Here is a 25,161-nt window from a genome sequence, read left to right on the forward strand (position 1 = left end):
AGACGCCAGAGGCCATATTTCCCTCATAATGAACTGAATAGTATAGTTTAAATATGCATTGGGTAGAGAAATGACTGTGTCCCCATTTCCTGATTCAGAATCAATTGAAGATGCTCATGTTCTAGTGCCTGAGGGTGGAATGCAGAGGGTGATTTGGAAATGTTCAGGCTTGGTAGAGCAGAACTCTTCAATGACTGTCCTCTTGGACATTGCGTATTATATTTGAATTAGATCAGCCTGTGTCCTGTTCTAGTTTAAACCAAAATTCAATTATGAGCCATTATTTGTTTAAATTACTGTAAGCAAACACAATGGTTTATTTATTTTTAATTCAGAAGTTGATTGTGAAACTTGTGGTTTGCTCAGAATGATTTTGAAATCTCTGTTTTCTGCTCTGGCTCTCGGCTTGCTGACCAAATGGTCATTTATCGGGAGTGCTCTGCAACTGAAGGAGTGGAAATTCTAGGCCCTCACGGTGCTACCTGTTGGGGCCAGCCTTACAGGTCAGCTGGAAGTGACGGTGACCCAGCTACCTCGACACCAGATCTCTACCCTGCTCCCATCGGAGTGTCTGAGGCTTCCACCACTCAGCTTTCACCAGGCTGGGGTGGTATCAGCTTAAACTACACCTGAAAAAGTCAAACACACCTCATCTGACTATACTGCAAGTCAGCACATCGATTTACCTAGCACTCAGCCAACTGGAGAGGCAATTTCAGAGGGAACAGGACTCAGGGTAGGTCTTTTAATTTGGAGCTTGGGTACCATTAGTGGTTAGAGAGGGTTCAGAAGGCATCAAAGGAGATGTTCAATGACTTACACTACGATCACCACTTACCAATCCGTTAAGACTGGCCCAGGGTGTGAATATCAAAAGGAGAAAAAAAAAATCTACCTGGAGCAAGTCCCCTGCCCCGATCTTATCATAGTTTATATATGACTAAGCTACAGGGAGGGTGGTGGTGTCATATTCTTTCTTTCAGTTTGAGCCTCATGAAAATGAAGAGCAAGCTGCAAATCATTTTTATCTGCAAGGGGTTATCTGGCTGTAACCCTTACATAAGCAAGGTATGGGGATTTGGTGTGAACACGTGGTTTTCCTGAGATGTGCATTTATTTTCGGGGGTGAAGAGTGTTCAGGTAAATCCATAACATTTTCGTGTGCAAAGAGAAGGTCTCCACCTTTCTGCTCCATGAACCAGTCTCCATGAGCACCCGAGGCGACGCTCGCGGCGCGGCCCGAGCGCTGGGCCCGGGCTCGAGGTTTGGACCGGGGTTCTACCCGGCAGCAAAGCCAGAGGCCGGACACACCACGGCCTCCTGGATCTGCGCTGCCTGCGCAATAAGCCTGGGGAGGTGCCAGCTCCGGCAGGCATTGGGCACCCGGGAGTCCCGCCGCTGTGGCCGCGCAGGGCACCGGATCCCTCCAGGATCCCAGGCTCCCGACGTCCAGCAGAAGTGCTCTGGAGTGAGGCTTCATTGGTCCCAGGTGAGCGTTTCGTTGCCAGCTCGTTGCGCGAGGTCTGAATGCACAGTGGAAACAACTTAGGGTGGGTATGGGAAAAGAAGAAACATATTTCAGAAGCACTCGCCAATATAAATTTTTAAAAATAAAGATCTTAATACAGTAATTTGACTAGAGCTAGCAGACTGAATGAGTATGGACACCAGAAATATGCTTTCGGCTGGGGGATGTAGCTCAGTGGTAGAGCGCGCGCTTCGCATGTGTGAGGTCCCGGGTTCAATCCCCGGCATCTCCAAATCAGCCGACGTTTGCTTTTTATTTTTTCTCCTTTCCTGTTGTATCTTAGAACACTTACCCCATTACTTGTACATACATTTTGCTCACATCTAGGCCGCCCAAAAACAATATAAAAGGAGGGCTGAAAAAAATCAGCGAAGCTCAGGGAAACCACCTTCTTGACTGCTCGAAGTAAAAGTGAAATAGGGAATTGGCTTTCATTAATACTTCTTTATTTGCATGAGTCCAGTGTTTAAAGGCCCTGTTATTGAACTTTGAGGCTCCTGTGTATGATACCCACAGAAAAAAACTAGAAGTCAAAACTTGCATTGGCCGGGAATCGAACCCGGGCCTCCCGCGTGGCAGGCGAGAATTCTACCACTGAACCACCAATGCTTATAGCAAATGTGCTTTTCTATTGCTTACTAGAAGACACTTACACCCTGGTAATTCTCTAAACAATCACGTATTTGTGTATTCAAAAACAGAGAAAGCAATTAAATTTTTAATCACATAGTTATAAAAAATTAGAAAAACATTAACATTTACAAAAATTTTCATTATACTACTTTAGAACTTTATGAGATTCTTCTGAAACTCTCTTTGGTGAAGGAGGCAAATGAAGATTTTGTCATGTATGCACAGGATTACACAATCACCTAGCCTATCTTCAGACACTTAGATAATTTATAACAACTCTCCCTCCAACCCCCTGCCATTTTTTTCTTTTATTATTTTACCTATTCAGACAAATACATAATGGAGATTTGTTAGAAATTGGGAACAGAGGCAAAGAAACAGGGAACAGAAATTTGAACACTGACCCAAATTTATGATTTGGAAATTGGTAAATTGGAACTATGTGATTTGCATAGGGAACTTGAAATATTGATGATTCAAGCCAAGTGACCTGAATTCTCTAAGCTGCCCCTTCCTTCATTTAAGACCCCTTTTAACTCTAATAGTATGAGTCTGATCCTTCACCCTTAGTTTCCAAGGAAAGTGAAATTGTGAATGATACAACAAAAGATATAGGAGGGGAAAAAAATAAAGTGAAGGAAATGGATTTATGGAAATGATTCTAAATACGAGATAAAAGGCTGTGGATATAGGCAACATTGGCTTTTTATCTCTGGGAGGGAAATACCTAATAATTTCCAGATTCTTTGGTCAAGAATAATTTGGGGAAAAGTTATGAGAAAATAACAGCTAACACATAGTAACTGTGTACCAGGCTATGTTAAGTACACTACACATGGACTTCAACCCCGTGAGTTAGGAAGCTGAGGCTCGTAGAGGCAAGATTGGAACACACAATATTATGTTCAGTGTTGGAGTGCTTAGCACTGCCCGTTCAGCCTACAACAGAATAGGTCACTGTGTATTGAAACTCAAATGCTGCATGTAGTTTAGGACATTATATATTAAGAATAATCGAATGGTGTTAGAGAAAGATCATAAAAGGCTACTGAAATAAGGTAATGACTTCTCCATTAAGATTCATCTTTAAGGACTTCTTAGTGTGTGGGTAAAGAGCAAAATCTGAAGACAAATACAGAATTATAAAGACATAAAAGATATGAAGGGATTAGGGAATTAGGGAATCAGACTACAATCCTAAATAACCTGTGGAAGAACAAGGTCAACTCATTTTACTTCTTCTAACTTTAGTTTATTCTTTAAAATGAAAGAAATGGGGGAGAAATGGGGTTTTAAAATCCCATTCTGAAGTGATGTACCTTTCCAGAGGTGCTTCAGGGCCATTGGCTGGTAAGGCCTCACTTTCATGGTGGGGACTACAGGTGTGCACCACCATGCATGGCTAATTTTATTTATTTATTTATTTGTTTGTTTCTTTATTTATTTATTGGAGAGAAGAGAGAGGTGTCTCGCTATGTTAGCCAGGCTGGCTTCAAAGTCTTGAGCTCAAGCAATCCTCCCTGCTCTGTCTCCCAAAGTGTTGGGATTACAGGGGTGAGCCACTGTGCCTGGCCCCTGAGATTCTTAAATATTGTTTTTAATTTTGAATCCTAACTTCAGAAATCTAAAGAATCTTAGATTATTTAGTTCAGGGCTTCTCAAAGTTTTTATTTTGAACGTGTAACCTAACAAACAAAGGCAAATAAATAGGGAGTTTAAAAATGAGCTGGTGGAACTGAGGGAGCAGGGCAATAAAAATGAGGCCTCACCAGCCAATGGTGATGCTCAAGTGGAAGGCCTGAGGTCAAAGCTGCAGAGAGCCAAGATCGTGCCACTGCACTCCAGCCTGGGCGACAAAGTGAGCCCCTGTCTCAAAAAAAAAAAAAAAAAAAATCTCAGAACACAAGGAAAAAAGTCTTATGTAAAACATTACTAGTGGCCTACCTAAAGGCCTTTTTATTTATTTATTTTTTCTTGCTAAAAGTCCATTCTAGTTTACCTAGCCCAAGGAACAAATGTGGTGCCCTAAGCCAATTATCTCATTTTTCGTTCCAAATTGATCTGAGGTGTGCTTTTCACTGAATCCCTGCCAATGAGGGCAAGAATAGTCAGCTAGGAGTTTCTGGGAAAGATGATACGGAAGATCTCTCTTACCCTTTCTCCTTGTATGAGGGTGTAATGCTTGGAGCTGCCCCAACCATCCTATGACTTGAAGGAAGACAGAGGGTGATCCAGCAGGAAAATAGAAAAAGGCTCTACACCATCCTGACATTTTTTATGCAGACTTTTGGTTAGGTAAATTAAAGAACTCTATTGTTTAAGTACGTTTGAGTTGAGGATTTTGTTACATGTAGCCAAAAGCATTCAAAGGGTGTGTGTGTGTGTGTGTGTGTGTGCGCCTGCATGCATGTGCATCCAGCAGTCCACCCAACTCCTTCTGGTACAAGAAACCTTCTGTTCTATAGATAATCAATACTTTGAGATTTGTGTTAGGTTAACTTGCCTCTTTTTCTGTATTTCTCTGTCACAATAGCAGGTGTGTAAAACAGGTCTCGTCAAATATTTTCCCTTGGCACTGCACTTTCTTAGAGATGGGTATGTGACTAAATCTGGGACAATGAAAAGTCCTTGCCGAAACTCTCTTGCAGAAGTTTTAAGTAAAAACTGTCTTTTTGCTGGGTTGTTCAAACAGGTTGAGTGTATAGTTTGGGTTGTCCAGAAGAAAGAGACAAACATATTCCTAATATGATATTGAGCCACTAGAAGCAGCCATGCCCGACTAGAAAAAATTCTGGATTTTGTGTTTATATGAGTCAGTAAATTGCCCTTAAACAATAAGTGGTGGGCTAAGTGTAGTAACTCACACCAGTAATCCTAGCACTTTGAGAGGCCGAGACAGAAGGATCAACTGAGGCCAGGAGTTTGACACCAGCCTGGGCAACATAGTGAGACCTTGTCTCTACAAAAAATAAAAATTAAAAATTAAAAAAAAATTACCCAGGTGTGGTGGTACACACCTGTAGTTCCAGCTACTTGGGAGACTAAGGTTGGAGGGTTGCTTGAGCCTGGGAGTTTGAGGCTGGCTGCAGTGAGCTATACTGTGCCACTGCACTCCAGCCTTTGCAACAGAGCAAGACCATGTCTCTAAAAAACATACAACAACAACAAAATTAGCCTTTAAACTTAGTTTGAGCAGTATTTTGCTAGAATCTTAACACAAATTGAGAAACAGTTTTACCCCAAACATGGTAAACTTAGATAACTCATTACCCAGGATGTGATATAGACTAATAATATTAAAGTTTAAGAAAAGTTTAGGCCAAGTGTGGTGCCTCACCCCTATAATCCCAGCACTTTGGGAGGCCGAGGTGAGTGGATCACCTGGGGTCAGAAGTTCAAGACCAGCCTGGCCAATGTGTGAAACCCCGTCTCTATTAAAAATACCAAAAAAAAAAAAAAAAAAAAAAAAGCTGGGCATGGTGGTGCGGCTGTAATCCCACTATTCAGGAGGCTGAGGCAGGAGAATCCCTTGAACCCAGGAGGCAGAGATTGCGATGAGCCAAGATTGTGCCATTGCACTCCAGCCTAGGGAACAGAGTGAGACTCCGTCTCCAAAAAAAAAAAAAAGAAACATTTACATTTAGAGAAATTCGTCGATGATGATAACACTACAAGGAGACAACAAAAACCATGAGAAAATTTTTAGGACACATTCCCAGCTTGTTGGAATAAGGTAAACTCTGTTGCAAAGAAGGTTCGGAGCATTTGAAGGAATATTCAGGCAACAGTGTGACAGAGAAGTAGAAAGAGGAGAAACTAAAAATAGAGAAATCCATTCAAGAGGTAGTTAGAATAGGAGTAGAGAGGTGACGAGGTCCTGAACCAAGGCCACAGCTCTAGCATGAGGTGCATGGCAAGACAGAAGGAGGAAGAAAAATTACTCTAGGAATCTACCTTACGTGCTTGATAGACTTGGGGTGTAGTGTAGAAAAGTAAGGAAGAGAAAATACTGGAAGGAAAGGGGTGGTGTAAAGCGCTCATTTTTGGAAATTCTGACTTTGAAGTAAGTAGGAAGAGGTGCCTGCTAGGTGGTTAGATCAACCCCAGGAGAAATCAAGGCTACAGAAGTGGATTTGGAAGTCAATCACCTGATGGGTGAAATGCAAAAATGTGGAAATGGAGAATATCACACAGAGAAAAGAGTGCTGAGGACGCAGCCTTAGGGAATGACAAGAATTGAGGAGCCAAAGTTGGAGAAACAGGACAGTGGCATCTGTGGAGGCAGGCAGAGCCCCACTTCTTTTGCTAATTCTGAATAATAAAACATGACAAACACATATGTCACAGTGTTTCATAGATATACTGTGTAGTAATCCTGTTTCACATCGGGAATGCTGTAGTAGGCAGTGATTTCATTATCCACGTGATCAAGCTTGAAGAGATCAGAGGATGACCAACAGTGCCTTCTGGGTGGTGCACACTAACACTTCCCCTGGTCTGCTCTGTTCCCATGCTCAGATAAGAAGCTCCCATTGAAGCTGGTAGAGAGAAGGAAAGCACTTGAGCACTGTGAAGTGTTACACAATCTTCTCTTTTAGGCAAGCCTGGCCATTGTGACACCCAGTGCGACAGGCAGGGGTTGTAAGTTGCATCATAGCACCTTGGAGCACTTGCTCAAGGTACCAAGTTCCTAGCTGGTGTTAGCTCATCATAGAAAAGTGGCCAGGCTTATATCATCTGAAGAAAGTAAACAGTTCAGAAACAGAAATAGTTCATATAATACAAAGTCACCAAAGCAATGCCTTTTTTTTTTTTTTCACCTGTGAGTGATCGTATTGATTTAATACACACAGCTTATTTCTGTCCCAGGTTACAAACTAGCCCTAGGGAAACGGTGGAGCCAGTCATTTGGATTGCCCTTTACTGGCTGGGAATTAAATCATTACTTATTCCATTTTAGAATCACAAGTAGTACCCTAAGGCCTACTTTCCTAAGGATTAAAATCAAGGCATGGAAGTGAAGAATCCAGGTGTAATTCTCAGATGCATGCAGATGTTGAGAATGCAGCAATTTTTCCTGGAAAGCTGTCACTGCAAAATCATCCTGCTCACGATATGCTCATTCCTAGTTCTCAAGCATATCCAATTAGTCAACAAGCCTGATTTCTCCTTTTAAAATGGCACTGACTCTTATTCTCCCTCCTCATGCCAATCTCTCCTACACAGTGCAGACAATTATCAGCTCACTCCCTGGGCTACCCAGGAAACCTCAGATTTCCTCTGCCATCCTGCATGCTGCTACCAATTGCATTTTTTCCTTTCCCTCCCCTACTTCTCTCTCTCCCTCCTTTTCTTTCTTCCTTCCTTAATTTTGGAAAATTCAGTCATTTCTTTATTCCAAAATTGAATTAATTTTAAATCCATACAGAGTCCTCATGGTGGAGGAAATGTGAGTGGGAATTCTTTACCTTTCTCTTGACTCTCATCTCTGGGTGAAGCATTTATTCAACTACTTCAGAGCTGTGCCGCTTGGCAGAAATAGCTTTCACTTCCCTTCCTAAAGCTCTTTCTTCTTCTTCTTCCCAAGTTATTTGGGTCTTTTAAAATATATGTTTTTTTCATAAGAAACCCACATGTATGGTGCAAAATTCAAAAGGTATGAGAGAGTATTCATTGAAAAGTATGCCTAGCCTGGCACAGTGGCTCAGCCTGTAATCCCAGCACTTTGGGAGGCCAAGACGGGCAGATCACCTGAGGTCACGAGTTTGAGACCAGCCTTGCTAACATGGTGAAACCCCGTCTCTACTAAAAAATACAAAAATTAGCCAGGCATGGTGGCTCATGCCTGTAATCCCAGCTACTCGGAAGGCTGAGGCAGGAGAATCTCTTGAACCCAGGAGGTGGAGGTTGCAGTGAGCTGAGATCGCACCACTGCACTCCAGCCTCAGCAACAGATCCCAGGTTTCCTTTCCTAGAGGAAACCATTGTTATCAGTGTCCTGTATTTCCCTTCACAAATATTTCTATGTGGATATAAACATTGCAACTTTTATTAAAAAAATTTTTTTAATCTCTTTTTTGAGAGACATGCAATTTATTTTTAAGCACAAATGGTACATACTATACATACTGTTATGCTCATATCCTTTTCTCCCCCCAGAAATATATATCTTGGAAAATTATCCTTCTTAGAACACATAGAGCTAACTTTATCTTTTTAGTGGCTCTATGTTCATTTTTTAAACTGTCTTTTATGGACTAGGAATTAAAACATTATTTTTTCTATCTCACAATAATAAGCAGTACCCCAAGGCCAAGTTTCCTAAGGATTAGAATCAAAGCATGGAAATAAAGAACCTAGCTGTAATTGTAAGATGCATGAAGACAGTGAGGTACCATAATTACCTGAGCCAGTTCTTTGGCAGAGGACATTTAGACTGTTTCTAATCTTTTGCTAGTAGGAACAATGCTACAGTGAATGCCTTGAATGAATGCCATTTTGTTCATGTATGAGAACACCTGCAGGATAAATTCCTGGGAGAAAAATTGCTAAATCCAAGGGTGAGTACATTTTAAATATTGCAAAATTACTCTCCAAAAATGTCTATTTTTCTTAATCATTGCATTTATTATATTACTCTTTTGCTCCCAAATGTTAGTGAATCCTTGCACTTATTTAATCCTCTGCTGTCTCCATGCTGTAATTTTTTTTTTTTTTTTTTTTTTTTTTTTGAGACAGGGTCTTGCTCTGTCACCCAGGCTAGAGTATAGTGGTGCAATCACGGCTCACTGTTGCCTTGAGGTCCCCAGGCTCAGATGATCCTCCCACCTCAGCCTCCCGAGGAGCTGAGACTACAGGCATGCGCCACCACACTGGCTAATTTTTGTATTTTTTGTAGACATGGGGTTTTGCTATGTTGCCCAGGCGGGTCTTGAACTCCTGGGCTCCAGTAATCTGCCCACCTTGGCCTCCCAAACTGCTAGGATTATAGGCGTTAGACACTGAGCCTGGCCAAAAGTAGTGTTCTAAATTACCAAGATTCTTCTCCGCATTAATAGTCTGAGAACTTTTTATATTGTTTTGAAATATGGAAAGTTTGCAGTTTAGGAGAAAATAAAAAAGTTTGATTAAGCTGAAAACATGTAGTGCTAAAAGAGGTCTTGAAAGCATCGCCTGGGAACTGGTTAGAAATGCTGACTGCAGGCTGGGTGCAGTGGCTCTGGCCTGTGATCCCAGCATTTTGGGAGACCGACCTGGATGCATGGCTTGAGCCCAGGAGTTTGAGACCAGTCTGGGCAACATAGGGAGACCACCCCCTGCCCATGATCTCTACAAAAAGTAAAAAAACTAGCCAGGCATGGTGGTGTGCACCTCTGTAGTCCCAGCTACAGGGGAGGCTGAGGTGGGAGAATCTCTTGAGCCTGGAAAGTTGAGGCTGCAGTGAGCTGTGATTGCCCCACTGCACCTGGTAAAAAAAAAAAAAAAAAAAAAAGACAAGAAAGGCAAATGCAGCCAGCTCCTGAAGGATCTTGGCTGCTGGGTGAAGTTTGGGTGAGGCCAGGTAGGCTATTGTGTTATGAGTTAAATTTTGTTGCCCAAAAATGTGCATGTTGAAGTAAAAAATTTGCATGTTGAAGTCCTAACCCCTCGAAATATGACCTTATTTGGAAACAAGGTCTTTGCAGGTGATCAAGTAAAGATGAGGTCATTATGGTGGACCCTAATCCAATAGGACTGGTGTCCTTATGAAAGGGAAAGGTTGGACAGAGAGACACGCATACCATCTGAAGATGAAGGCCGTGGTTCAGGTGATGCTTCTATAAACTAAGAAAAAACCACCAGAAGCCGGAAAGAGATATGCAGCAGATTTTCCCTCTCTGCCCACAGAAAAATCATTTCTGCCAACACCTTGATCTTGGATCTGTGGCGTCCAAAACTGAGACAATAAATTTCTAAGCCACACAATTGGTGATACTTGTTATTGGCAGCTCTAGCAAACTAATGCATTAGGTTATCAAGAAGTAACTCAGCAGTTAGGATACTATAGTCTTACATTTTTGACTTGGCAGAGACCAGTATATTTGTGCATTAATACCATTAACTTCATTCTTAATATTAGTTCTTGACAATTTAAGCAACACAAAGCTAAACACAACAATAATAGTAGAAAGTCTGCTGAGTGTGGTGGCTGACATCATAATCCCAGTTCTTTGGGAAGCTGAGGTGGGAGGATCTTTCAGGGCCAGGTGTTCAAGACCAGCCTGGCCAACATAGGCAGACCCCCCAACTCCACAAAAAATAAAAAAAAATTAGCCAGGCATGGTGGTGCATGCCTGTAGTCCTAGCTACTCAGGAGGCTGAGGTGGGAGGATCACTTGAGCCTGGGAGTTTGAGGTTGCTGTGAGCTATGATTTCACCACTGTACTCCAAACTGAATGACAGAGGGAGATTCCATCTTTAAAAAACAAAAACAAAAAAACCTAGAAAGTCAAGGAACAATTCAGCATAGTTAGGAGAGAGGACCTATATTCCATAAATAAACTATTCTCCAAAGTTAACATCCTGGACCAGGTATGGTGGTTCATGCCTTTAATCCCAACATTTTGGGAGGTTGAGGCAGGAGGATCCCTTGAGGCCAGGAGTTTGACACCAGCCTGGGTCAACACAGTGAGACACCAGCTAATAAAAAAATTAGCCAGGTGTGTTGAGGCAGAGGATCCCTTGAACCCAGGAATTTGAGGCTACAGTGTGCTATGATTGTGGCACTGCACCCCAGCCTAGGCAACAGAGCAATATCCCATCTCAAAAAGAAGAAAAAAGGAAGGCTTATAGATGATAAAAGTAATTGACAGCCACTTTTTAAAAATTAGCTTTTTGCTTTTATTTATTTATTTTTCTTCCATTTCAGGCTAGCAGTGTGTGACACCATAACAAAGTTTAAGGGCAGCACGTCTCACACATGCGGGTGAATACTCAGTCATCATGCTTATAAACTACAGAAGGATCTGAATGAGTTTCTAGAATAATTCCTAGTCTAAAGGTTTGTAGTTCTATTTTCATGACTATTTTAGGAGCTAGAAGCATTAAATGTAATTAATGATTGTGAAAAGTTGCAGACACAGGCATAACACAAAGCAAGGAGGACACAAAACCTCAGAGAGGCAATAACATACTTTTATTTTCACATTCAATCCTATAAATATCATTGCAAAATCTATATATGTGTTTTGGCACATAATATATTTACTAGTCATCTTAGCTTTGTGAATTTTCTAATTTGCTCTATTTAAAAAAGATTACCATATTTTTTCTAGAGATGGGGTCTTGCTGTGTTGCCTAGGTTGATCTTGAACTCCTAGACTCAAGCAACCCTCCCGTCTCACCTAAATAAGATACCCTGATAGGAGCTTCCAGGTTTAACTTTGGTTGAACCATTAACACATTTGTCTTTATTTTTTAGTTTTACTCATGTATGGCAAAGTGCTGCATTACAAAGTCATATACCATTTGACTCTGTTTTGCTTCTTAGGATTAATGACCACCTTATCTAGATTTTGTGCTTAAAAGGTAAATACTGCTATTAGTTACTTGGAGACCTCTTCACTTTTCCCCTTTCCTCAATTATATATATATACAGCATTTGCCACAAAAGGATATTGCACTGGTAAAAGGAACACTCCATTTGGTCAATTAACAGAATGTCTAACATAGACAAATTACTTCCACTTTAACGTGATTATTTTCCCCACTTCTAAGACAAATTCTATGTTGTGGGAGAAAAATAATAGGGTTGGTGAAAATAAATAATACTACATATAGTGTTTATAAGAAACTAGATGTTGTCTAACTTGAACAGCAAAATAATTACCATAAACTAGAACACTTCTAGTTAACAGATGAAAAAACAAGGGGGTAAGTAGCTTATTTAAAAATCCTTCAAAAAGTAAGTAGAAGGCTGGAATTCTGACTCTAGAGCTTATGTTCTTAACAACTTGTCTAGGCTCCATAACAAATTGTCTGTGTACTTCATTTGTATAACTTTCCAGTCACATAAGTTCTCTCTCTCTCTCTTTTTATTTTTAAATTTTTTTGAGATGGAGTTTCATTCTTGTCACCCAGGCTGGAGTGCAATGGTGTGATCTTGGCTCGCTGCAACCTCCACCTCCTGAATTCAAGCAATTCTCCTCCCTCAGCCTCCCAAGTAGCTGGGATTACAGGCACCCACCACCCTGCCCAGCTAATTTTTGTATTTTTAGTAGAGACAGGGTTTTACAATATTGGCCAGGCTTGTCTTAAACTCCTGACCTCATGTGATCCACCCGCCTCAGCCTCCCAAAGTGCTGGGATTGTAATCTGTATATACAGAATCTAATATACAGAATATAAATTCTGTATATTAAACAAAACAGCAATGAGAATTTCTAGCAGTTTTTCCGTTAGCACCAAGTAGCTGAAAGACATTGAACTAATAAAATGTTTTCTGCTATGACCTTAAGGGTCTTTAAACCTAAAGTTGTTCTTCAGAAGGGTAAGGAATTCCAAAAAATAATGGTCATTATCTGAATTTAAGATCCTGTATTACAGAATCAATACAAATTATAAAAATAGCATTTAAAATGTTTGAATCATTGATAAGAATTCTTCCTACATAATCTTTCATGGGCTTTAGGAATATATGCCTAGCCAGGAAAACCAACCTCACTCAGATATGAAGTCGCTTCTTTGTTTCAGTTTACCATCCGGAGCAAAAGTGCTTGGCCACCTCATTTGAAAACACTGAAACCATGCAAAGCTTCTCTTAGTAGTATTGAGCCGCAAAGATGTAGGATTTATTAGTCAGCCTTTAAAAATATCTGCAGACAACTGTATGAAAAACTTGCCCCATTGTACAATCCTTAGGAGTATAGGATTTGGCCAGGAGTGGTGGCTCACACCTGTAATCACAGCACTTTGGGAGGCTAAGGTGGGTGGATCATTTGAGGTCAGGAGTTCGAGACTAGCCTGGCCAGCATGGTGAAACCCTATCTCTACTAAGAATACAAAAAAAATTAGCCTGGCATGGTGGTGGATGCCTGTAGTCCCAGCTACTTGGAAGGTTGAGGCAGGAGAATTGCTTGAACCCGGGAGGCGGAGGTTGCAGTGAGCCGAGATCTTGCCACTGCACTACAGCCTGGCACAGAGTGAGACTTCGTCTGTAAAAAAAAAAAAAAAATACAGGATTTGGTCAGACTGCCAAGGTTTCAATTCCATCTCCATCTTTTACTAGTTCTGTAATTTTGATGGGGGCATTTAGCCCCTCTGTCTCAGTTTTCTTCTTGGTAAAAAGGGCATACAATTGTATGTATCTTATAGGGTTGCTGTGAGAATTAAATGGGCTAATGCACATAAAGCTCTTCCACAGTGTCTGGCACATAGTAAAATTAGCTCAATAAATATTAGCTATACATAACAAATGAGAACCAATATTGTAAAACCTTCTTCTAACTAGTATAAAGATGAGCAACATTTGGCTTTGGATTATCCTAAAGAAAAAACAGTAAGCAGAAAATTATACCTTTTAAAACTATGATGCCAGGAGCAGTGAGTGGCTCATGCTTGTAATCTCAGCACTCTGAGAGGCTGAGACAGGTGGATCAATTAAACTCAGGAGTTTGAGACCAGCCTGGGCAACATAGTGAAACCCCTTCTCTACAAAAAATACAAAAATTAGTCTGGCATGATGGTGTGTGTCTGTAGTCCCAGCTACTTGGGAGGCTGAGGCAGGAGGATTACATGAGCCCTGGAGGTTGAGGCTGCAGTAAGCTGTAATCATGCCACTACACTCCAGCCTGGGTGACAGAGCAAGACACTGTCTGAGGGTGGGTGGAGTTGGGAGAAAGATGAGCAATGTGTTAAGAGGACAAGTAATTATAAAACTGAGAGAAGAAACTGCATAGAGCCAAAATATATTTTCTCTGAGCTCGTAAAAATGGCAACTCTTTATTTCATCAATATTCCATAACCTTTGCTTATTCTTTTTAGAGCTATCTTGGTGGGGGTGATACTGAAAGTAATAATCAGCCAGGTGAGGTGGCTCATGCCTGCAATTCCAGCACTTTGGGAGGCCGAGGCAGGTGGATCACCTGAGGTCAGGAGTTTGAGACCAGCCTGGCAAACATGGCGAAATCCCGTCTCTACTAAAAATACAAAAAAATTAGCCAGGTGTGGTGGTTCGTGCCTGTAGTCCCAGCTACGTGGGAGGCTGAGGCAGGAGAATCACTTGAACCCAGGAGGCAGAGGTTGCAGTGATCCGAGATCATGCCACTGGACTCCAGCCTGGGTGTGACAGAGTGAGACTCCACCACACAAAAAAAATAAATAAATAAAAATAAAAATAAATAAGGCCTGGCCCAGTGGCTCACACCTGTAATCCCAGCACTTTGGGAGGCAGAGGTGGGCGGATCACCTAAGGTCGGGAGTCCAAGACCAGCCTGGCCAACAAGGTGAGACCCTGTCTCTACTACAAATACAAAATTAGCCAGGCGTGGTGGCGCATGCCTGTAATCCCAGCTACGTGGGAGGCTGAGGCAGGAGAATCGCTTGAACCCAGGAAGCGGAGGTTGTGGTGAGCCAAGATCGTGCCATTGACCTCCAGCCTGGGCAATAAGAGCAAAACTCTGTCTCAAATAAATAAATAAATAATTCCTGAATCTTTTTCCATGGGAGTGTGGAAAATACGAATAAAGTGATTTATATGCTCAATATAATTAATGAATAAGCAGAAATATTCAATTGAATTTAGTTTGCTTCAAAAATTCAGTCACTTCTGCTTAAATAACTTTAAGGTTAAATTAAGAAGAGTTGATGCAAATGCACATATCACTTGGGGACAAAGTTTGATTTTCCTTATTATTAAAGAATAGGGTCTTGATGTTATTCTCACTCTTCCATTTAAAAATTGGAATATAAATAAAGAACAAATGTCATCAATGTATTCTTATTTCAATATTCTAAGTGAAATTAGAATATTGCTTTCAGAATTGATGTTTTAAAGCAGAGTATTGTTGTTGAACATAAATAACGTATAAGTGACTATCAACCTATGTTTCTCCATTCTTTAAATTGTATATAAACTGCAGGTTAAACCCAACAGTTCTGTGATAATTGATGTGAAGCGTAAGGGGAGAGAATCAATGTGAGGTCAAACGTTCACATTAAAATTTAAAGATTAGGTCGGTTATCTGAAAGGATTCATAATGCTTCTTATAGATATATCTAAATGTGTTTTTGTACTAAGAAATATTTGAATCCTGAGTAGCTTAGATATTTACATGCTTTATGGAAAAGATGTGAACCAAATAATCTAAGTTACTTTCTAGCTCTGTAACTCTGTGACACTTCAACGGCTTTTCAAGCATATTATTAATATTAGTGAATGTTATTAAAAAAGAAATAAACTTTTTACATTCAAAGTGGATGAGTTCTAAATATATTTTCAAATGTTATTGGGACTAGCATTACTTTAACAAAAACTTGGTTTTTCAATGATTATTATATCATTCCCATTTACATTTTTCAAATGGAGATGTCATCAATTATTCCATAAATATTCTAAATAACAATAACAGCTCTAAAAGGGATAAATATACCTTTAATATCTATTGTTAAATAAGGATATAAAATGTCATATAATATCTAACTAGATTCAGAAATTATATGATGAGTTAATGGGCTCCTATTTCCTCTTTCAGACAATATAATGACAACATTTTTTTCCCATAGGTTATTGGGGTTACGTAAATTCTTTAGTGGTGATTTCTGAGATTCTGGTGCACCCATCACCCGAGCAGTATACATTGCACCATATTTGTAGTCTTTTATCCCTCACTCCCTCCCACCCTTTTCCCCCAAATCCCCCAAGTCCATTGTATCATTCTTTTTTTTTTTTTTTTTTTTGAGACAGAGTCTTGCTCAGTGGACCAGGCTGGAGTGCAGTGGCGCGAACTCTGCTCACTGCAAGCTCCGCCTCCCGGGTTCACGCCGTTCTCCTGCCTCAGCCTCCCGAGTAGCTGGTATTACACGCGCCCGCCACCACTCCCGGCTATTTTTTCGTATTTTTAGTAGAGATGGGGTTTCACCATGTTGGCCAGGATGGTCTCGATCTCTTGACCTCGTGATCCACCCGCCTCGGCCTTCCAAAGTGCTGGGATTACAGGAATAAGACACCGCGCGCAGCCGTTGTATCATTCTTATGCCTTTGTGTCCTCATAGCTTAGCTCCCACATATCAGTGAGAACATACAATGTTTGGTTTTCCATTCCTGAGTTACTTCACTTTGAATAATAGCCTCCAGGGCCAGGCACTGTGGCTCATGCCTATAATCCCAGCACTTTGGGAGGCCGAGACAGGTGGATTACCTGAGGTCGGGAGTTTGAGACCAGCCTGACCAACGTGGAAAAACCCCGTCTCTAATAAAAATACAAAATTAGCCGGGTGTGGTGGCACATGCTTATAATCCCAGCTACTCAGGAGGCTGAGGCAGGAGAATCACTTGAACTCAGGAGATGGAAGTTGCGGTGAGCCAAGATTGTGCCATTGCATTCCAGCCTGGGCAACAATAGCGAAAGTCCGTCTCCAAAAAAATAAATAAAATAGCCGGGCGTAGTGGCGGGCGCCTGTAATCCCAGCTACTTGGGAGGCTGAGGCAGGAGAATGGCGTGAACCCGGGAGGCGGAGCTTGCAGTGAGCCGAGATCCCGCCACTGCACTCCAGCCTGGGCGACAGAGCGAGACTCCGTCTCAAAAAAAAAAAAAAACAAAAACAAAATAAAATAAAATAAAAAATAGCCTCCAGTCTCATCCAGGTCTCTGCAAATACACTTAATTCATTCCTTTTTATCTTGAGTAATATTCTATCATATATGTATATACCACAGTTCTTTGGTTGTATATACATATATATATATATGTATATACCACAGTCTCATTGGTTGACAGGCATTTGGGTTGGTTCCACGATTTTGCAATTGCAGACAGCATGTGTTTTTATTAAACTGTGGAAGAGTAGAAGAAGGGAAGTCTCATCCAAACTCTTTACTTTTCGTTAACTATTTAGGTCATTTTAAAATATTTCTTTTTTTTTTTTTGAGACCACATCTCACCTTGTCACTCAGGCCAGAGTGCAGTGGTGGGATCACAGATCATTGTAACCTTGACTTCTCAGGCTCCAGGTATCCCCTTGCCTCAGTCTCCTGAGAAGCTAGGACTACAGGCATGAGTCATCATGCCCAGCTAGTTTTTTTTTTTTTTTTTTCTTTTTTTTTAATGGAGACAGGGTTTCACTATGTTGCCCAGGCTGGCCTCAAACTCCTGGGCTCAAGCAATGCTCCCACCTTGGCCTCCCAAAGTGCTAGGATTATAGGTGTGAGCTTTGTCCACCTTTTAAATATTTCATTTAGAACTTTTATGTGTCACTCTTTCAGACACTGATGATACATCAGTGAACAAAACAGACAGATATCCCTGCCCTTGTGACACTCACATTCTAATATGGGGTGATTGGCAATAGACACAATAAATAAGACAAAATATGTAGTATGCTAAATCATGATAAGTGCTGTGGATAAAAAACAAAACAAATAAGAGGTTAGAAAATATTGGTGAGGAAGAGTGGTGAAGGTTTCAGCAGAGTCAGGTAGCAGCTAACATCCAGGTCCTGTAACCTTAATAGCACTCAAGAATCATTTAAATTTAAATTTAAATTTAAAAACCTCACCTTGGCTTTACTCAGGCACTTTTGGTCACTTATTCCTTTGTAATCCTGTGGCACTGAAACATACCTGTCATACTTAACACGCTGCATTGCATTTATTTGTTTAACTGTCTGGTTTCCTCATTAAATTAAACTAAACTGAACTACAGCAGTTTAGTTCAGGATTAAGGATTATTTATCTTTGCATTTTCAGAAGCTAGCACAGTGTCTCTCATATTGTAGGTATTTGTTGAAGAGTGATTTGATCAATTTTATTCAGAAGAATCTGTTTGGGACCACTTTCTGCTTTTTCTTTGATCTCATTCTTTCCAAGGTGAGTGATCAATAAAAAAGGATCACTGAAATGTTACCAAATTTTATTTGATTAATACCAATCATTAGGTAAACCCTGAGACTTTGAATATTACAATTAAACATATGTCAGGAGAGGCAAAGTCTTAATAGGCAATGATTTCTTATTTGTATCTTGTGTATTCCAGTTCCTGAACAAGCTACTAAAAATAAGTCAATTTATTCCTTAATTTACCACATATTTATTGAGCACCTATTATGTTTGGATTTTCCAAACACTGTTAGTTCGTGAGATGCTTTTGGTGGCATATGGGCATTTTACAATTTTTCTTTATTTTACATATATTCAAATATATGTAATATATTATTACATGGAATATAATTCCATGGGTAATTCATGGAAACTTTTTCCTAGGAAAAAGTTATATTTTATCAAAAGTAAGTTGATTTCCTAATCAGGCATATTGGCACATGCCTGTAGTCTCAGCTACTTGGGAGGCTGAGGTAGGAGGATTGCTTGAGCCCAGGAGTTCCAGGTTGCAGTGAGCTGTGATTGTATCACTACTCTTCAGCCTGGGCAACAGAGACCCTATCTCTAAAAATAAAAATAAAGAATAACAAGTAAATTGATTTGAGGAAAAATGTTACATTAGGCTGGGTGCCATGGCTCACGCCTCTAATCTGAATACTTTGGGAGGCCGAGGTGGGCGGATCACGAGGTCAGGAGTTCGAGACCAGCCTGGCCAATATGGTGAAACCCCATCTCTACTAAAAATACAAAAAATAGCTGGGCATGGTGGCACGTGCCTGTAGTCCCAGCTACTCGGGAGGCTGAGGCAGGAGAATTGCTTGAACTCGGGAGGAAGAGGTTGCAGTGCGCGGAGATTGAGCCACTGCACTCTAGCCTAAGTGACAGAGCAAGACTCCGTCTCAAAAGGAAGAAAAAAAAAAACCCACAAAAATTAGCCGGACGTGGTGGTGGGCACCTGTAATCCCAGCTACTTGGCTGAGACAGGAGAATTGCTTGAACCTGGGAGGCGGAGGTTGCAGTGAGCCAAGATCGCGCTACTACACTCCGGCCTGGGCGACAGAAATAGACAACATCTCAAAAAAAGAAAAAAGAGAGAGAGAAAAAGAAAAATGTTACATTAATAATAAAAAAAAGGACCAAAAATAGTGAGTGGTATGTATAAATGTTGCAAGTTTGAGAAATAATATACCATGAATTATGCGATAGCAACCAAGGGACTTCTACCCATTCTCCCTGACCAGCCAAATGGACTGTGTGGGGCCAAGGTGAAAGTTTCCCCTGGGCCCTCTGAAGGTTCACTGGAAATCACTGACATAAAGCAGATTAATAGGATAAAAGGCATTCAGATTTATTTAACATGTATACAAGGGGAGAATCACAGTGATTACCCAAGCACCGTGATTCCAAAGCTTTCATACAATCCTGGTGTACGTTATGGGAGGGGGAAGAAGGGGAATTCTGTTGAGGGCATTATTAGGGAGAATGAGTGGATCAGAGAACAGATTAATTTGTACATTGTCTTGTGAAAGTTTCTGTTCAGGTGTGGGTTCATTCTTGGCCTTACAGAGAGAGAAAGAAAAAACAATTATTCCTTTAGATGGATCTGGATTGCAGGCGGATAAAGGCTTAGGGAGAGACTGTGGGGTGTGAAGTAGGGGCAGGTCAGGGAGGCCCGGCGGCTTCTTCAGTTCAGCATGTCAACTTGCCATATTTCGGGATACTATTTTCTTTCCTTCTTTTTTTTTTTTTTTTTTTTTTTTTTTGAGATGGAGTTTCACTCTTGTTGCCCAGGCTGGAGTGCAATGGTGCAATCTTGGCTTATCGCAATCTCTGCCTCCCGGGTTCAAGAGATTCTCCTGCCTCAGCCCCCCAAGTAGCTGAGATTACAGGCATGTGCCACCACGGCCGGCTAATTTTGTATTTTTAGTAGAGACGAGGGTTCTCCATGTTGGTCAGGCTGGTCTCGAACTCCCAGCCTCAGGTGATCTGCCCACCTGGGCCTCCCAAAGTGCTGGGATTACAGGCGTGAGCCACCACGCCCAGCCCAGGGTACTGTTTTCTAAGCTCCAACAACTGTGAAGTATGATCACTAATAATGAAGCTTAGTTTTATAAAGAAATGGCATTTATTTTTAGTTTTAAGGAGAAAAGCTTCAACATTCCAGTTCTTCTTTTGTTGTTGATGTTGTTTCTGGTGGCTTTACATTTATCTGTCTGAATGGCATAAAGCCTCCTTACTGATAGGTCTCATTGGGATCTCTTCCACTTCCCATATTTTCTCTTCTGGTTTTCTTCTTTTCTTAGCCTCTTTTGTTTTCTTTCATAATCATCATCCTCCTTATCATCAACAAGAACAAGATTGAAGAGACAGAATGTGGTTGAGTTTGCATTTACAAGTAGAGGAGATTGGTCTTCTACCATCTCCTTAAATTTTCACCTAAGTGTTTTTATAGTGAAGTGATTATCAAAACATATAATTTTAGGTACCAATCAAAAACTTGTAAGTGCTCTATGGCTAATCCTGTTTTTCTTAACCAAAACCATTGTCTTATTTAACATGAAAGGTGATGCTGACTAAAGTTACACAGCATTTTTAAGGTCTAACAAACTTTGAAACTTAGCTCTCTAAGTATATTTGGAATACAGAAAATTGTAGAATACACAAATGTCACTTGGTCCAAAATGTATTTTTCCCTTTGGGTTTATTCCAAATCCTACTATACCTATCTGAAAAAATTATTTAACTACTTAATGAAATATTTGGCATCCTAACAATTGCTCAGATTTTATTGCAAGGTGGTTATCTCTAGTCAGATTCTTTTAAGAGACTAATACAATGAAATACATATCTCTATCAGATTTATTTCTTTCCTTTTTTTTTCTTTTTGAGGCAGAGTCTCACTCTGTGGAATGCAGTGGCGTGATCTCGGCTCACTGCAACCTCTGCCTCCTGGGTTCAAGCAATTCTCCTGCCTCAGCCTCCCTAGTGGCTGGGACTACAGGTGTGTGCCACCAGGCCTGGCTAATTTTTTGTATTTTTAGTAGAGACAGGGTTTCACTCTGTTAGCCAGGATGGTCTCAATCTCCTGACCTCATGATCAGCTCGCCTTGACCTCCCAAAGTGCCGGGATTACAGGCATAAGTCACCGCTCATGGCCCATCAGTTGTATTTCTACCTATTTTGCATCTCTTAAAATATCAACTAGATAATGTTAAATAAAGTGCCATAATTTCTCCTATTTTAGTTTCAGCTGCATAATTTTACAGTTTAAAAGGTTGGTCAATAGAAACTAACATGATATAAAAACAAAACTAATTTCATTTCATTTAGCATCTATTGATCATACTTTGAGCTGTTTAAATCTTTTTTGCTGCAACCTCCTATAAAGTCATTTACACATTGAAAATAGAAATTGATATATAAGAAGGAGATACCTAGAGAACTTCTAAGACATCATTTAGATCTCATTTTTTTCTCATTACATCTCCTGGAATGTTAGTGAATGAGTTTTATATGCCACAGGATGCTAGAAAGAATTTGAGATACAAGGCTCCTTGCTGCATATTCACTATAAAAGCAGTGAAGCCCAAATAATGCTCCAAAAAACAAATGGATGGGACCTGTATTTTTCATGGAATGTTTTTACCTTGTTGAATCTACTCACAGATTCTTTATTGACAGCCTACAGAATAGAGTTTATTCACAATTAATGTGCATGCAAATCACCAGGAAACTTCTTAAACTGCAGATTCTATATAGTAGGTCTGTGGTAAGGTCTGAGATTCTACATTTCAAGTAAGTTCCCAGGTGAAGCTTTTATCACTAATACAGGAACCACCCTTTGAGTAGCAAAGATCTAGAATAGGTTGTTCAATATGGTGTAGTCTGAGGACTACCTACATCTGAATTAGCTGAGGTGCTCATTAGAATGCAGATCCTCTGTCCCCAAACTGTTTTTACAGAGTTGAAATCTGTGTACGTACCCTTTACTCCTAGGAATAAGTTTTTATATAATCATTGCATGTTATTTTTCCATACACTAAATTAAAAACAATGACAACTTTGCATAAGTAGCCTGCAGTTCTGTACTTTTCCTGGGGGCAGAAAGAGGTTGAGTAGATATTAGAAGAGTAGGATAAAAGGTAATAGTTGTTTGGCTTACTTGAAAATTCTGTCTGGTATGTGGATCATGAAAATGTGCGTGTTAACATTTTAGGTGCTCCAGCTCTTTACAGTCTGCTAAAGAGTTGAATGAAAAAAAAAATTCCCAACTCTTATCCTTCAATCTTTTATCTTAGATTATCCCTAAAGTTCTCTTTTGAAACTACTCATCTTTATAATCTACTAACCCAAAATATGTCTTGCCTTAGAGTATGATGTAAGATCAACTTGAAGGCAATGAACTTCTTCCTGTTGATGTTTTCCCCTCACTTTTCTTTCTGCTTCTCTTCTGCTTATCCTTCAATACCCAGCTCTGGTATCCCCTTCTGATTTTCCTTAAGAATGCTAAAAAGTGTTAAAAAGTATTTAAGTCAGGTGCAGGGGCTCATGCCTGTAATCCCAGCACTTTGGTAGGCTGAAGAGGGAGGAAGGCTTAAGCCCAGGAGTTCAAGACCAGCCTGGGCAACATAGTGAGAACCCATCTCTACAACAGCAATAAAAAATTAGCTAGGCATGGTGGTGCATACCTGTGGTCCCAGCTACTTGGGAGGCGGAGGTGGGAGGATTGCTTGAGTACAGGAGTTTGAGTTTATAGTTAACTATTATTGGTCCACTGCACTCTAACCAGGATGACAGAGTGAGAAAAGTATTTAAAATGTTCATCAACTTTGACTTAATTTCACTTAAAGGATATATCCTTAAGAATCAATTTGACAAGTTGTCTTTTTATAGTTCATAAGTGTGATGATTGGGTTTTTATGCTCTTGTATGTGATGCCCCTCTCCTCAAATCTTGTCATGATGTTGGCACATTACCCATCTGATGTTAAAAAAGAATCAACTGGACAAGGAAACAAAGATATTCAAAGTAATGTTATCTATAATACAGATTGGAAACTGTCTTTGTAGGTTGTTGAATAGGCAGTAAGCAGAATAAATCAGCATATACCTTTCCATTAAAATACTATGCAGGCAGGCTGGGCACAGTGGCTCACTCCTGTAATCCCAGCACTTTTGGAGGCTGAGGTGGGTGGATCATGAGGTCAGGAGATCGAGACCATCATGGCTAACACGGTGAAACCTCATCTCTACTAAAAATACAAAAAATTAGCGGGGCATGGTGGCAGGCACCTGTAGTCCCAGCTACTTGGGAGGCTGAGGCAGGAGAATCCCACTTGAACTCAGGAGGCGGACCTTGCAGTGAGCAGAGATTGCGCCACTGCACTCCAGCCTGTGCAACAGAGTGAGACTCAGAAAAAAAAAACAAAAACAAACAAACAAAAAAAAACTATGCAGGCAGTAAAAACAAAGATATAGATTCACATTTCTTGTCACTGAATGATGTTCTCAATATTTTGTTGAAAGAGGATTTACAGGACATTATATTGATAATAATTCTAATATTAAAAATAAATAAATACCATATTTAGTTCACTGATGTGGTCTAAGTGCTTAGAATGGAGAGCTCAATAAATATTTGTTAGGTGAATGAATAAATATTTGTTAGGTGAATATTGATTGCTTTATATGCCCCAGGGATTGTTCTAAGAACTGTACTTTTATCTTGTAATTTATCTTTACAGTAATCCATGGAGGTAGGTCCCATTACCCATATATTATAGATGAGGAGACTGATGCTCAGAGAGATTAGGCAGATTGCCTAAGGTCATAAAGGTAGTAAGTGACAAGATTTGGTTTTGAATGATCTGATTCAAAGCCCATGTTTTCACATATTTTTGTTTTCTATTATTTTTATAAGATGTACATAAAATGTCTATAGCAAGTTATTAGGTTGGTGCAAAAGTAATTGCAGTTTTTGCCATTAAAAGTAATAACACTGGTTAATTGTGACACAAGTAGTCAGATTATAGGGGCTGGGTTTCTTTTTTCCTCTTTTGTATATATATTTTCATGTTTCCAAAATGAGCATGAGTTCTTTCTGTAATAAAATACCTACATTAAAAAGAGCATTTTTGGTTAGTTTCACCACCACTGACAAAAAGGCATTTATGGGATTTTTCTTTTTGGAAAGAATGAATCATTTTCTTGCCATGCTATCTCAAAACACTGTTCCACATCTATTTTCTGCTCTTTTTACTCTCTTATGGTAATTATTGTTTCAATGCCGTTCTTTCCAACTTGGCTAAGTTACAGAATATATTTTATTTATCTTTGTATTTTTAGGGCTAATACAATGCCTGGAGCATCAGATATATATCCAAAAAGATTTATTTAATTGAAAAAGAATCTTAAAACAGTAAAATCAGTGTTTGTCATTCCATTTTTCTTTGCCCCATTCCTTGTTGTTGCAGTAAAATATTTTGTGTTTGTTCCCAGGTTCCTCCAAGGCAGAGCCGATCTCCACTGCCCTTTATCTCCTACCGCTAAGAGCAGTAGCCAGTAAGTGTAAAAACTCAAAACAAAGCGCTTTCCTATCTCCCCAGTGGAGTAAAAGCAGTGAAGCCCAAATAATGCTTAGTTACCAAAAGCCACGCCAGGTGGCTAATCGAAAGGGTATTGATTTTAGCCAGTAAATAGCCCTTAATATAGTTGGAACCTGGGTTGAATATGCAGTTTGGTAATTAGCTAATAAAGCAAACAAGGGCTGGAGAGAACGTGGCGCAGTTGGATAAGCAGCAGCCCATCATCCAGGAAGCTCGCCTATGTCTAATACCTTCTCATATGAAGGACTCAGGTTACCTTCAGGACTTTCCAGCCATTAAATAAGGAAAAAAAAAAAACACTATAAACCTATCATAGAATATGAG

General features: G+C 40.1%; 1 protein-coding gene and 4 non-coding genes across 5 annotated transcripts in view, besides 4 other annotated features; 3 read left to right on the forward strand and 2 right to left on the reverse strand.

Annotated features, from left to right (window-relative positions):
- Positions 867-936: an enhancer, noted in NCBI's record as "active region_16662". NCBI's record gives its function as "activates an Ori minimal core promoter by ATAC-STARR-seq in GM12878 lymphoblastoid cells {active_cell/tissue: GM12878}" and the evidence as "EXISTENCE:reporter gene assay evidence [ECO:0000049][PMID:35858748]".
- GPD2 (glycerol-3-phosphate dehydrogenase 2) overlaps positions 1,201-25,161 on the forward strand; it is a 186,123-nt gene continuing 162,162 nt past the window's right edge. Inside the window, exon 1 of the mRNA XM_047443963.1 lies at positions 1,201-1,489. The gene's annotated coding sequence lies outside the window, so the exon portion shown is untranslated. The remainder of the gene's footprint in view (positions 1,490-25,161) is intronic.
- Positions 1,367-1,536: an enhancer, noted in NCBI's record as "active region_16663". NCBI's record gives its function as "activates an Ori minimal core promoter by ATAC-STARR-seq in GM12878 lymphoblastoid cells {active_cell/tissue: GM12878}" and the evidence as "EXISTENCE:reporter gene assay evidence [ECO:0000049][PMID:35858748]".
- Positions 1,689-1,760, forward strand: TRA-CGC3-1 (tRNA-Ala (anticodon CGC) 3-1). Its single transcript has one exon. It is a non-coding gene; the product is annotated as a tRNA-Ala (tRNA).
- Positions 2,057-2,166: a silencer, noted in NCBI's record as "silent region_12019". NCBI's record gives its function as "represses an Ori minimal core promoter by ATAC-STARR-seq in GM12878 lymphoblastoid cells {active_cell/tissue: GM12878}" and the evidence as "EXISTENCE:reporter gene assay evidence [ECO:0000049][PMID:35858748]".
- Positions 2,067-2,137, reverse strand: TRG-GCC2-2 (tRNA-Gly (anticodon GCC) 2-2). Its single transcript has one exon. It is a non-coding gene; the product is annotated as a tRNA-Gly (tRNA).
- Positions 2,207-2,256: a silencer, noted in NCBI's record as "silent region_12020". NCBI's record gives its function as "represses an Ori minimal core promoter by ATAC-STARR-seq in GM12878 lymphoblastoid cells {active_cell/tissue: GM12878}" and the evidence as "EXISTENCE:reporter gene assay evidence [ECO:0000049][PMID:35858748]".
- LOC124906173 (small nucleolar RNA U13) lies at positions 11,064-11,166 on the reverse strand. The gene has a single exon (XR_007088760.1). It is a non-coding gene; the product is annotated as a small nucleolar RNA U13 (small nucleolar RNA).
- On the forward strand, positions 23,115-23,219 carry LOC124906170 (small nucleolar RNA U13). The gene has a single exon (XR_007088757.1). It is a non-coding gene; the product is annotated as a small nucleolar RNA U13 (small nucleolar RNA).

Source organism: Homo sapiens, chromosome 2, assembly GCF_000001405.40.
Source record: "Homo sapiens chromosome 2, GRCh38.p14 Primary Assembly".
NCBI lineage: Eukaryota > Metazoa > Chordata > Mammalia > Primates > Hominidae > Homo > Homo sapiens.